Source organism: Homo sapiens, chromosome 7 (genome assembly GCF_000001405.40).
Source record: "Homo sapiens chromosome 7, GRCh38.p14 Primary Assembly".
Classification (NCBI taxonomy): domain Eukaryota; kingdom Metazoa; phylum Chordata; class Mammalia; order Primates; family Hominidae; genus Homo; species Homo sapiens.
In genome coordinates this window covers 51,477,610-51,492,280 of record NC_000007.14, presented here as the reverse complement: position 1 = coordinate 51,492,280, position 14,671 = coordinate 51,477,610, and the positions used below count along the sequence as shown (strand labels likewise).

Here is a 14,671-nt window from a genome sequence, read left to right as displayed (position 1 = left end):
ACAGATTCAATGCAATCTCTTTCAAAATACCAATGTCATTCTTCACAGAAATAGAAAAAACAATCCTAAAGTTTATTTGGAATCAGAAAAGGCCCAGAATAGTCAAAGCTATCCTAAGCAAAAAGAACAAAATTGGAGGAATCACATTACCTGACTTCAAATTATACTACAGAGCTACAGTAACCAAAACAATACGGCACTGGTATAAAAACAGACACATCAACCAAGGGAACAGATTAGAGAACCCAGAAACAAGCCCACATACCTACAGTGAACTTATTTTCAACAAAGGTGCCAAGAACATACACTGGGGAAAAGACTGTCTCTTCGATAAATGGTGCTTGGAAAACTGGATATCAATATGCAGAGGAATGTAGACCCCTATGTCTCACCAAATACAAAAATCAAACCAAAATAGATTAAATACTTAAATTTAAGGCCTCAAGCTATAAAACTAGTACAAGAAAACATTGGGGAAATCTCCAGGACATTTGTCTGGGCAAAAATTTCTTGAGCAATACTCCACAAGCACAAGCAACCAAAGCAAAAATGGACACATGATATCACATCAAGTTAAAAAGCTTCTGCACAGCAAAGGAAACAATCCACAAAGTGAGGAGAAAACCCACAGAATGGAGAAAATATTTGCAAACTACCCATCTGACAAAGGATTCATAACCAGAATATATAATGATCTCAAACAACTCTAAATGAAAAAATCTAATAATCTGATCCAAAAATGGGCAAAAGATGTGAATAGACATTCCTTAAAAGAAGACATACAAATGACAAACAGGCATATGAAAAAGTGCTCAATATCACTGATCATCAGAGAAATGCAAATCAAAACTACCGTGAGATATCATCTCACCCTAGTTAAAATGGCTTTTATCCAAAAGACAGGAAATAACAAATGCTGGCGAGGATGTGGAGAAAAGGAAATTCTTGTACAGTGTTGGTGGGAATGTAAATTAGTAAACCCGCTATGGAGAACAGGTTGGAGTCTCCTCAAAAAAACTACAAATAGAGCTACCATATGATCCAGCAATCCCATTGCTTGGTATACGCCCAAAAGAAAGGAAATCAGTATATCAAAGAGATACTTGCACTCCTATGTTCGTTGCAGCACTGTTTACAATAGCCAAGATTTGGAAGCAACCTAAGTGTTCATCAACAGATGAATGGATAAAGAAAATATGGTACATATACGCAATGGAGTATTATTCAGCCATAAAAATGAATGAGATACTGTCATTTGCAACAATATGGATGGAACTGGAGAACATTATGTTAAGTCAAATTAGCCAAGCACAAAAAGACATACATCACATGTTCTCACTTATTTGTGGGATCTAAAAATAAAAACAAGCTCATGAACATAGAGAGTAGAAGAATGGTGACCAGAGGCTGAGCAGAGTAGTGGCGGGGGTGGGGGGCTCTGGTGGGCAAGGTGGAGATGGTTAATGGGTACAAAAAAATAGTTGAAGAATGAATAAGACCTACTATTTGATAGCACAACAGGATGACTATAGACAATAATAACTTAATTGTACATTTTTAAATAACTTGAAGAGCATAATTGGACTGTTTGCAAACCAAAGAATAAATGCTTGAGGGAATGTATACCCCGTTTTCCATGATGTGCTTATTTCAAATTGCCTGGCAGTATCAAAACATCTCATGTACCCAATAAATACATACAACTACTATGTACCCACAACAATTTAAAATAAAAATAAAAATTTTAAAAAGAGCATGATTTTGATGGCACACAACGTGGGTTCAAATCTTAATTGCATTATTTACTAGCAAAGTGAATTTATGTAAGTTATTTACTAGTTCATGCCTCCACTTCTTCATGTGTGAAACAGAGAACACAACAGCTCCTACTTCAGTGAGTACTTGTGAGGGTTGCATGAGATAATCTGCAAAGTACTTAGAACTTAGCAAGCTCTCAATAAAAATTAGGTTACAGTGTCATTTTATTTTAGTGATCATAAATGTATTTCTAAAAGCTTATATAGTTTTCACTGAAAACAAGCTCATGAACATAGAGCTGAAAACTCATTTTTTCTTGCTTATCTTCCCTAGAAAGTTCATATCATGTCACAAGCAGAGCTGTAGAAATATAACTGAGGTGGTTTTGGAGGAAATACAGCATTTTCAGGAGACCAAATATTTTTCTCTGCAAATGTGCTAAACAATAGTCAATGGTGTTCATAAAATAACTTCACAGTGATAAATGTGAATGGTCCCATTGTAAACGTTGCATTGAGTGAAAATGTTGGCAGGAGTGGTGGGACTTGGGAACTCTTTCTAAGTTTTTCTTTATCATAAGAGTAAGTTTAGAAAGTTGGACAAGCAGGTAGGTAATTGCATGAATAAATAAGATTCCCAAAGATCCTTGGACTCAGAGACACCAAGATAATCCATGAGCATAACTGAAAAATGAGGCAAAGAGATGCAGGAAGAAGAGATGGAGAAGACATGGCACAATAACAAGAGTGCAGAAAACATCCAATTACAAAAGTGATTGTCAAAGTTCATTCCCAGGAGCACAGTGTTGTCTGAGCTGCTCAGAAGTATCCCGCCCCATAGAACGCAATAGCAACATCCTTCTCACATAAAGTCATCATCACTCAGTTAACCAAACTTTTCTTAAGTTTTTGTTGTTGCTGTTGTTTGTGTTTTGTTTTTTGTTTTTGTTTTTGCTTTTGTTTTTGTTTTTTGAGATGGAGTCTTACTCTGTTGCCCAGGCTGGAGTGCAGTGGTGCTATCTCGGCTCACTGCAACCTCCGCCTCCCGGGTTCAAGGGATTTTCCTGCCTCAGCCTCCCAAGTAGCTGGGATTACAGGCACCTGCCACCATGCCCAGCTAATTTTTGAATTTTTAGTAGAGACAGGGTTTCACCATGTTGAAACCAGACTGGTGCTGAACTCCTGACCTCAAGTGATCCACCCACTTTGGCCTCCCAAAGTGCTGGGATTACAGGCATGAGCCATTGCACCCTGCCAATTTAAGTATTTCCTCCACTACAATATTAAAACTTTTTGTACCTATTCCTGCCTCTAGACCCTTGCCTTCCTGAGTTTTGCAGCAGTTCAGCTCTGAGACCAGCTCTTCCTCCTGCAGCCCAGGGCTAGAATCTTGGTAATGCCTTTGTTTCCAGTTCCCCTTAGATTCCATTGCACCCAAGTGCTGAACCCTGCCTTACTCAATCATCTCTTAGCTGACTTTGTCATATTTTAAGCCAATGGCTTTCAATTCTAATGTTTTTCCTTATTTCTTATTATAAAAATAATACAATGTCATTGCTGAAAATCTGCAAAATACAGAGAAGCACAAAAAAGAAAACGTTTGAATCACCTCCAGGGAGAGCTACAGTAAATATTATCTAATTTTCCAGTAATTTTCTGTATATTTTTGTAGAAATGAGATCATGTAGTGTGAATATACCATGTAATAAACATTTTTTTTCTGTTCTCACTCTTCTGCCACAGAGCTTCATGGTAGACTATTATGGATTCTAACTTTTATATATGTGCAAGATGTACTTACTGGATCCCTCTATGTGATAATTTAGTATGTTTCAGATATTTCACCATTACAGATCATGCTAAAAATACTCCTTTATCTCCTTTAATGTATCCATCATTCTCTGCCACATACTTTAAAAAGAGAGTCAACATCCTCTGCTTCGGAAGGCAGAGAATTGTATTGTTAGGAATATTTTTGTAAAAGAATTTGGGAGAGTTGTTAGTATAAATGAATAATGTTTTTAAAGATGTTGGAAGTAGAGTAAGTGTCAGCTTGTTTTTGTGCTGCTATAACAGAATAGTATAGATTGGTTAATTAATAATGTACATATGTTTACTTGGCTTATGGTTCTGAGGCTGGGAAGTCCAAGATCAAGGGGCCCCATCTAGCGAGGGCCTTTCTGCTGCATCACAAACATGACAGAAGGCATCATATGGTGAGAGAGGGAACCCATCCTTTTATAAGGAGCCCACTCCCACAATAATGGCATTAATCCATTCATGAAGGCAAAGCCCTCATGACCTAATCACCTCTTAAAGGTCCCACCTCTCAACACTGTTGCAATGGGGATTGAGTTTCCAACATATGAACTTTGGGAGAGGTGTTCAAACCATAGCAGCAAGCTTTATTCATTTACTTCTGTATCTCTTAAATGAACTGTCTCATTCCTCCAAAATGTTAAGAAATATGAGAAACTCTTTACAATAGCCAATATAGATGCAATTAGTAACAGCTATTAGGTAACTTTTCTTTCCCTCTGCACTGGCTATTGCTTGTACCCCCCAGAAAAAGCCAGGGAACAAGAGAGGGTCAATACAGACAGAAGAACATACAGACAGCTGGAGGGGAAAGGCCGTTTATTCCAACTTCCCTCATTATTCATAGAATGAGACTGAGGTTCAAAGAGAGAAAGTGACTTCCCCGAGATCAAGAGGGAATCCCAGCAGAAACAGGAGCTTCAGACTCCAGTGTCCTGAATAAAATCTTTCCTTCTCTATAATGCTGGCTTTGTCAAAGCCACATCCACTGCTCACTCCGCAGAAAGACCATCAGCATGAGTTGTGCATGAAGTCAGGGGAAGTTTATTAGACCTACAGCAGTGGGGAAGAATACCAGCTTGCCTGAGTCTTAAAGGTGTTGGAAGGAGAAGAGGGATTTTGACAGGGTCTGGGAGACTGGCCTCAAGGGGTCTTTCAAGGTGGAGGACAGATTGTAAATGAGTGCTGTTCATGATTTAGGATTGGGGAACACAGCAAGGTGAGCATTTTAAGCCCTTCTTTATAAGTAAACTACTCCTTGATAAGCAAAGGAGTAGTTTGCTGACTAGACTTGAGAGAATAGCTATTGTCCAGATGAGCAAATTCTTTTCCCGTAGAAATTGGTTTACAGGAAGTTCCTAAGGCAAACATTGAATTATTGGTTGGTGTATAGACTGATGTTCTTGGAAAATAATTTCCTGCTACAAATAGTTATGTCATGATGTCATACAGGGTGGTCTTGGTTCCCAGTCCTGAGATTTCAGGTTTGTGAATGCGGGCATTCCATCACTTCATGAAGGACCCGGCAGCAGGGATCCAGGCTGGCCATGTGGCCACCTGAGGAAAGGGGGCTACCTTTGACTGAGGGGTCTGGCCCAGATAACCGAGGAATGGTCACAAAAACAGGGTGTCATAAGAACCTGGTGAAGTTTCAGCTACCTACAGGAACTTCTGCTGAATCAAAGAATAGAACCATAGAAAGCATGGGAATCCGCCTGCTCTGAGCTGAGCTGCCCTTCAGCAATTCTTCAGATATGGATCAGACACGTCCTGGCCATACTTCATCTAACCTCTTAAATCCAACCTCCATTAATTAAAAAAAATTGACTAAGTGTCCACTCAATGCCAAGGAACAAGCTAAGCATTAAGATGTGTCTTACATACACAAAGTATGTTTATTGCAGCACTATTCGCAATAGCAAAGACTTGGAACCAACCCAAATGCTCATCAATGATATACTAGATAAAGAAAACGTGGCACATATACACCATGGAATACTATGCAGCCATAAAAAGGATGAGTTCATGTCATTTGCAGGGACATGGATGAAGCTGGAAACCATCATTCTCAGCAAACTAACAGAAAACCAAACACCACATGTTCTCACTCGTAAGTGGGAGTGGAACAATGAGAACATATGGACACAGGGAGGGGAACATCACACACCGGGGCCTACTGGGGGGTGGGGGGCAAGAGGAGGGAAAGCATTAGAAGAAATACCTAATGTAGATGATGGGTTGATGGGTGTGGCAAACCACCATGGCATATGTATACCTATGTAACAAACCTGCCCATTCTGCACATGTATCCAAGAACATAAAGTATAATTAAAAAAAAAAAAAAAAGATGTGTCTTAGAAGGTGTGTGATCTAGTGAAGGATACAGCACAATATAGAAAAAGCTCCATTTAATGGAGTAAAGTGGTTAGAAAAAGTCTCACAGGCAGGGCGCGGTGGCTCACGCCTGTAATCCCACCACTTTGGGAGGCTGAGGCCAGCGGATCACGAGGTCAGGAGATTGAGACCATCTGACTAACACGGTGAAACCCCGTCTCTACTAAAAATACAAAAAATTAGCCGGGTGTGGTGGCGGGCACCTGTAGTCCCAGCTACTGGGGAGGCTGAGACAGGAGAATGGCATAAACCCCAGAGGCAGAGCTTGCAGTGAGCTGAGATCGCGCCACTGCAGTCCAGCCTGGGCAACAGAGCAAGACTCCGTCTCAGAAAAAAAAAAAAGAAAGAAAGAAAAGAAAAAGCCTCACAAAGATGACATTCACACTGGGTCATAAAGGATGATGGATTCTGCAGGTGAAGACGGGAAGGAAGGGCATTTCACCAGAAGCATATGCAAGTGATCTTGAGAAATGGGGTCTTATGAGGACATGGGAGAGTACAGGCTCCGTGGCCAGGAGCAGAGCAAGACACGGTGGGAAGGGCAGGGAGGGGCTGTATCCTTGAGGGACTTTTATGCCATTCTAAGGAACTGACTCCTTAAGGAGATGTGAAATAGTGAAGATTCATCTATGAAGATTTGATCTTGGTCTTATTCAGATATTTCTGGCACCTTGGTGGAGGACAGGTTGAAGCAGGGGACAGAGAGCTGCCCACTGACCCGGGAGCCTGCAAGCGTGGCAGGAGAAGGGGCCTGTAATGGATAAGAGAGGCAGCATGACCACCCCAAACCCCCAGCCTCACTGCTTTGACTCATTTTGCTGGCACCACGGGAAGACCACCGTAGTCCCCCCTTATCTGAGGTTTCATTTTCCACGGTTTCAGTTTCCTGCAGTCAACCTCAGTTCCATAATGTTAAATGGAAAATGCCAGAAATAAGCAATTCACAAGTTTTAAATGGTACGCCATTCTGGGTAGTGTGATGGAATCTGGCACGGTCCCCTCCACCCAGCACAGGAAGTGAGTCCTCCCTTTGTGCAGCGTATCCACGCTGTAGATCCTACAGGCCCCTTAGTCACTTAGGAGCGGCTCAGATATCAGATCCACTGCCTGAAAATCAGTACTGCAGTGCTTGTGTTTAAGTAGCCCCTATTTTACTTATCAATGGCCCCAAAGCATGAGAGTGGTGATGCTGGCAATTCAGATAATTCAGATGCAGCCAGTTCAGATGGCTTCTCAAAAAGAAGCCATAAAGTGCTTCCTTTAATAGAAAACGTTAGCTGGGCACGGTGGCTCACACCTGTAATCCCAGCACTTTGGGAGGCCGAGGCGGGTAGATCACCTGAGGTCAGGAGTTCGAGACCACCCTGGCCAATATGGTGAAAGCCCCTCTCTACTAAAAATACAAAAAAAAAAAAAATTAGCCCGGCGTGGTGGCGGGCACCTGTAATCCCAGCTACTCAGGAGGCTGAGGCGGGAGAATTGCTTGAACCCAGGAGGGCGGAGGTTGCATTGAGCCGACCACGAAACTGCACTCCAGCCTGGGTGACGAGCACAAAACTCCATCTCAGAAAAAAAGGGGAAAAGATAAAAGTCCTCAACTTAACAAGGGAAGAAAAGAATTATATGCTGAGGTTGCGAAGATCTACTGTAATAATGACTCTTCCATCCACAAAATTGTGAAGAAGGCAAAAGAAATTCATGCTAGTTTTGCTGTCACACCTCTAACTGCAAAAGTTACAGCGATGGTGTGTAATAAGTGCTTTGTTAAGATGCAAAAGGCATTAAATTTGTGGGTAGAAGATATGAACAGAAACACGTTCCTACTGATGGCAATGCATTTCACCAGAAAACACTGAGCCTACAGGAAAATTTCAGTAAGGGATCTCTTGAAACAAGTGACAACACACCATTTACCGCAGATTCAGGGACACAGAAGGTCAATGGGAGCCTAATGCCACATCACAATGCCTGCATACTTTATCTCATCACATAGGCATTGTATCATTTCACATCATCACAAGTGGAAAAGGGGTGTGTATATAGGACAATAAGATATTTTGAGAGAGAGAGAGAGAGAAACCACATTCACATAACTCATTAGAGTATTTGTTATCATTGTTCTATTTTATTATTTGTTTTGCTGTTAATCTCTTACTGTGCCTAATTTTTTAAATTAAACTTTATCGTATGTATGTATAGAAAAAAAAACATATATAGAGTTATCCGCTGTTTCAGGCATCCACTAGGGCAGTGGTCCTTAACCTTTTTGGCACCAGTGACCGGTTTCATGGAAGATAATTTTTCCACAGACCTGCAGTGCGAATGGTTCCAGGATGATTAAAAAGCATTACGCATTCATTGTGTACTTTATTTCTATTATTATTACGTACTCACCGTAACGTAGAATCAGTGGGAACCCTGAACTTGTTTTCCTACAACTAGACGGTTCCATCTTGGGGTGATAGGAGAAGGTGACAGATCATCAAGCATTAGATTCTCATAAGGATCACACAACCTAGATCCCTCGCATGCGCAGCTCACAGGTTTGCGCCTCTGTAAGAATCTAATGCCACCACTGATCTGGCAGGAGGTCGAGCTCAGGCTGTCATGCTCGCTGGCCGGCCACTCACCTGCTGTGTGGCTTGATTCCTAACAGGCCACAGACCAGTACCAGTCCGTCGCCTGGGGGTTGGGAACCCCTGCACTAGGGGAGTCTTGGAATGTATCCTGAGGATAGAGGGGAATTACTCTATATTAAAAGACCAAGTCCCAACTCAGAGGAAGGGAAAGATTGACCTTTTAAAAATTCCCCTCAGCATGATAAGTGGAAAAATTAAGAATCAAAACAAACTTTTTCTTAAGTAATTTGTTTTTATTCTCAGTGAACAAGTGAACTGTTTATAGTTCCCTACAGAATCACTCACCAAATTAGCATTTAGGTCAACCTGGCCTTGGATAAAGATATTTCAAAAGGAGATTTGTATCTTGGTAATAGACAATGGTCCTTTGCATTCAAAGCTGGGAGCCATTAGTAATTGTTGAGGTTTAACTCTGGGAATGCATTCAGTGCATCTTCCAATCAGCGTGAGTTCTACTCAGACTCCAGACTCAGCAGGGTGGCGGGAAGTATTGAGAAATTTTAGAGAACAGAGGTACTTAAACACAATTAAGGCAGCTGGTCTGAGCAGCACACCTCAGGGAGAAAGTTGACATGTAATCTTGCCTTTGTGTCTGCTGGCTCCTTTAATTGTGCTTCTGAATATGTGACATGCTTTTCCCACTTTCCACTTGTGACTGGGCTCTAATAAGTTCACAAGAAGACATTTAAGACTGCCATCATCGGCCAGGCTCAGTGGCTCATGCCTGTAATCCCAGCACTTTAGGAGGCCGAGGAGGGTGGATCATGAGGTCAGGAGATCAAGACCATCCTGGCCAACATGATGAAGCCCTGTCTCTACTAAAAATACAAAAGAATTAGCTGGGCACCGTGGCGTGTGCCTGTAGTCCCAGCTACTCGGGAGGCTGAGGCAGGAGAATCACTTGAACCCGGGAGGTGGAGGTTGCAGTGAGCCAAGACAGCGAGAGCGCCACTGCACTCCAGCCTGGTGACAGAACGAGACTGCATCTCCAAAAAAAAAAAAAGGAAAAAAAAAAAAGATTGCCATCATCTTGAAACTGTGCTGGATATTCACAAAGACACATTTGTAGATGTGCATCTTAAGAAATCTAGTATGAGCCTGATGTCTTCTACTAATTAGGAATCTGTTCTAATCAATGGCAGTGATAGGAAGCCTTATAGGATGTCCAGGTACATCAGATACTTCCACTGCCAATGGGAAGTTGCTATGCATCACAAAATGTGAAGGATCCACAAGGAGAAGACATACCCAGCCAAGATGCCTGGGGACATATATATTCCCAGTGAAGGTGGGATCATGTTTATAGCCTCAGACCTTCCATTTGTGATAAAAAGTGACCAGCTGAGTGCAGTTAGAGTAATGGAGCTGCTGTAGCAGAACTGAGAACTACGATATTGGGGTAAGGTGGAGGAAAGGTGATTAAACTGTATAATCTTTTATACAGTTTTTACTCCTAGAGACCAGCCTTGATTTGTTCATAACTTCACCCTTTGCTACTTCTGGGAATTATGAGGTCTATGACTTCTCCTCTAGCCCATGATTAGTTCATTACCTGAGACACAAGGGAGATCATACTACTAAGGGGGGTTGGTGAGAGGTTCTGGGGTGGGTGTGGTGGCTTTGAAGTCAGACAGGCCTGGATTTTAATCCTTCCTGATAAAAGAATTAATTTTAACTCTGGGAATTTTACTGAACACATGCCAGCCTCAGTCTACTCACCTACAAAATGGGAATAATAATATCTACTTTACAGCAGTCTTATAAAAATTGGTTGTATTGCATGTAAAGTATCTCAAAAATAGTAAGAATTATATTTATTATATTTATTGTATTAGTTCTGGGCCAAAGAGGTTAGCTGAACAATCTGGAGAAATCAATTCATGGCTACTGTTTTTTGAAATGATTTTTTAAAATCTCTTTATAACTATCCGGCACTCTCAAAAACAATGCAATGAATTTCAGCATATGTAAAAGGTTTCTTTGCAGAACACTCTGTGGTCATTTCCCCACCGAGATGACTCATTTTTTTCTCTGGCCAGTATGTGATACAACTCAAAGTCCAGTGGACAAATGTGCATGGCCAGGGTGGCTTCCGGAGTGCTCCATGCTGCATATACTCTGCAGAGTTGCTACCAAATGTCAGTGTGAACACACAAGGGTATAAGTTCCACAAGTCAGAAAAGAAAATGAAACTATAAATCATAGACTCTAGGGTAAAATTATTGAAATTGCTATGCCCTCAGCACATGGGAAATGGTCAACCATTGTGATAATGAATAGGTCCACCTGAAATCCCAGAGCAGGAAGGAGGTTTTATCTCAAAGGAAATATATTCAGTTCTGCCTCTTGGCTTTCCAAATAGCATTCTATTGGAAATGTGCAAATAAACTTTTAGAAATTAGGCATTTGATGACTTAATTTAAATCAAGCTATAAGGTTCACATCCATTAGCTTCAATTCATCTTGAGAAATCTGAATTTAGAAACCCATAGCTGCAGCCTTCTCTGGCATACAAATAATTCAAATTTACATCTTTTTGCACAGCTATAGCTGTATATATTTTCTGCCTATCACCAAGGAGAAGACACAGAGCTACAACTGAAGGGCAGTTGCTTCTAACACTGGCACTGGACCGCAAGTCAGATCACCTGACAGCCACAATGCATTCCAAGTCATAAAGTTCGCAAAGCACTTGCGTGTCTCGGCATGTGGTGTAGATGGACCTTTTGTGGCTAGTGCTCACAAGGGCGAACTGGTCCCCAGAAAGTTCAATGTCTTCTCCAAGGTCACTAGAAACAGGAAACAAAGAAATGCATGCCTATAGCAAGGTGAATCCTGAAACTTGAAATAAGAGATGGCCAAGGCTAAATAGTGAGATGGGATTAAAAAATCCAAGGTGGTGACAGAGCTCTTTGCAACTGAAGTTAAATTCAACAGCCTCACTCCACAGATGGAAGTGGCTGCATGTAGGAAACCTCCCCAGAGAGATCTCAGGTCTAGAACCAAGTGGATCCGACAGCAAACCCACACTTTCCACCACACTGAAACCCCAGGAGCAACACATCCTCCTCCACACTCAACTTTCATTTGCGACCGGGAAACAGAAAGGAAAATAGCAATGTCCTTTCAACAATCTCAATAATGAGCTATCCGAGCAGCCATTTTAGAAATGACTGTATTAATTGGGCTTAATTAATCACCCTCTGGGTTATCTACAGATAGGAGAATGGAGCTTTCCAAGGAGGTCAGAGGGTATCTGCAGTTTAGAGGTTTTGCCAAGAAAAAAAAAATCAGAGTTTTTTTTCTTAATTACCAAAATTACTGTAATTCACAGAATAATCTGAAACAGCTGGTCATCTGTTTAGGAGACAATTTCACATCATCACATAAAATAAATGAGTGCCAGGATCACTGCATTTGCCTATTCTTGACTGCATTAACTCACAGTTGGAACAAACAGTATCAATAATAGATTAGCATCTATGTATGAGCTACAGCCTTCCTTTGCCATTTTGTGCACTTCACAGCATGAAATTTTTACGAACTTTTATCCAGCAAAATAGAAAAGTCATTTCAGAACCTTACATATGAAGATACCTAATTCTTCCTACAACTGAGAGAGAAGACAATTAGCAATTCTCGCTTTCTTTATATCAAGGTAGGGATGATTTTAAAATCTCAAATCAAGGGCAATTGTGAGCTTTTATTAAAAAAAGATCCTTCATCCTGCAACTTCTGAGACTCTCAGACACTTCTCACACTTAGAGTAAGTAAGATGAGAATCATCACAAGTAAGATGAGAATGCGTCTTGGAGAGCAGCTGTGAGAGAGAAGATGAGCCTGTTGCACAAAGGGGACACCTGTTTTGCAGTTTGACAGTGTTTACTTGGGGATTATAAAACAATCATAACTGTCTTAAATTTGCATGTGCCTTATAGCTTCAAAAATTGCCAGAATACAAAGAAAACTGGATTCATATACAATAACAGTGGGCAATGCAATACATTTTTTGTAACTGATAGAATGAGGAGAAATAAATGTAAGGACGTTACTCAAGGATACTAAATATCTGATTCATATGAGTAAAACACTGTCATTTAGGAGATCAACGAGGTCTAAAACAATATCTGGACAGAGGGCTTTGTTTATAATACTAGTAGAAAATGTAAAGAAATAGACTAGAAATTTCTGCCAACAGGCAGTCAGTGTGACCTCAGTCTGGCTGAGATGGAGCACGGGAATTGCAGTTACAAATCTCTCGCCAAGATGAACATGATGTGCAGATGTGAAGCCTGTGTCACACAGGCCCTGGAGAGGTTGCAAGAAACGGGGAAAGAGGCAGAGCGGTCAGGAACTGAGGGTTTGGCAACCCAAGGGAGTATTGGGGTGCTCGTAGGTGAAAATGTTTTCGATGTGATCCCAAGGTGAAGAACAGGACTGAAATATAGAACAGCTTATCCACTCACCTTCTCCCTCCAGAATACACCCGCCCAGCCCTGGCTCCTCGACAGGTCATTTCCTACATGTGGCACAGCCGCCAGGGAACCAGCTCCCACTCTGAACAGAGAGGGTTTTACTAAAATTTTCTCTTGTTCAGGTACTGTCAGAATGGCTACAGTGATCACTGTGTTTATACGTGGCCCCATCAAATAACAAAAAATGTGTATTGCAAATATTAATACTAACTCAATGAAAAGTGCACTCTTACCTGACTTAGGTGATCCATCCCGCTGAGCCACTGCCTAACTGTGACATAATGGGGTCATTAAGTGGCTGCCATGAATAGCTGTGGCTACCTTAGCTGTGGAGACAAAGAACTGCTTGAAATCTAAGCTTGGATAGTCATGGAAACAGCCCCTGGGTTCCCCATAGAATCACAGCTAGGATGGCTGCAAGGTGGAATGACCAGCCTCAGCAAATAAAAACCCAGGGGCCGGGCGCGGTGGCTCACGCCTGTAATCCCAACGTTTTGGGAGGCTGAGGCCGGCGGATCATGAGGACAGGACATCGAGACCATCCTGGCTAACACGGTGAAACCCCGTCTCTACTAAAAATACAAAACGATTAGCCGGGTGTGGTGGCGGGCGCCTGTAGTCCCAGCTACTCTGGAGGCTGAGGCAAGAGAATGGCGTGAACCCGGGAGGCGGAGCTTGCAGTGAGCCGAGATCGCGCCACTGTACTCCAACCTGGGCTACAGAGCGAGACTCCGTCTCAAAAAAAAAAAAAACCCAGGAGACTCCGGTCAACTTGAATTTCAGTAAAGAACAAATCATATTTACTGTAAGTATGGCTGAAGTAGTCACGGAGCCAGGTGCAAGCACACAGTGGTATGCGGACATCACACACTGGTATTTCACCTGGCCACCCTACTCCTAGGGAAAGTATTTGAAAACTAAGAACTTTCACCCCCCACCCCATGCCCTGACGGTCCCTGCACCACACCAGCCTATCTGCGAATACTAGCAGCCGTGGAAGGGTCAGCATGGTCACATGTCTTCCACAGGACCCTCACTCCCGCATCACACCTGACAGCCAACTGCTCATGTCTCTCAGCAGCGGCTGCCAGCCTCGGCTGTCTAGCGCGGCACATGGCGCCTGCAGGGCCTGTGACCAGCAAGCATGCACGCACCTATCTTTGTATTCCTTTCCGGTTCCGTTTTAGCCAGCAAACCTCAAATATTGAAGGGGGAAAAAAAGCCTGCTAGGGACAGCTGACGCTGAGAGGAGAAGCAGAGGCTAAGCTATCTGACTTTCCATTCTGAAGGCCCGCGTGGCGGGGGCCAAGCCGCTGAAGACAGGAGAGCGGCATTCCACATGCACCATCTCCGCCTCCTCAGAGAGCCTGCAGGCTCACACACGCACACACACACACTAGCACACGCACAACACCACACACACACTCACACACCCACAAACACACACCCACACACGCCCACACACACACACACACCCGCAAACACACACCCAGATGCGCCCTCACACACACCCACGTGCACCTACACACACCCACACACTCACCCACACACACATACACACACATGCACCTACCTATACGCACACATG

The 14,671-nt window shown here is 42.4% G+C and overlaps 2 annotated features.

Moving 5' to 3' along the window:
- Window positions 10,515-10,809: an enhancer, noted in NCBI's record as "tiled region #3025; HepG2 Activating DNase matched - State 8:EnhW". NCBI's record gives its function as "activates a minimal TATA promoter and a strong SV40 promoter by Sharpr-MPRA in HepG2 cells {active_cell/tissue: HepG2}" and the evidence as "EXISTENCE:reporter gene assay evidence [ECO:0000049][PMID:27701403]".
- Window positions 13,857-14,026: an enhancer, noted in NCBI's record as "experimental_99614 CRE fragment used in MPRA reporter constructs". NCBI's record gives its function as "activates a minimal promoter by MPRAs in K562 erythroleukemia cells, with activity observed for both the introgressed and non-introgressed 7:51546037 variant alleles {active_cell/tissue: K562}" and the evidence as "EXISTENCE:reporter gene assay evidence [ECO:0000049][PMID:34662402]".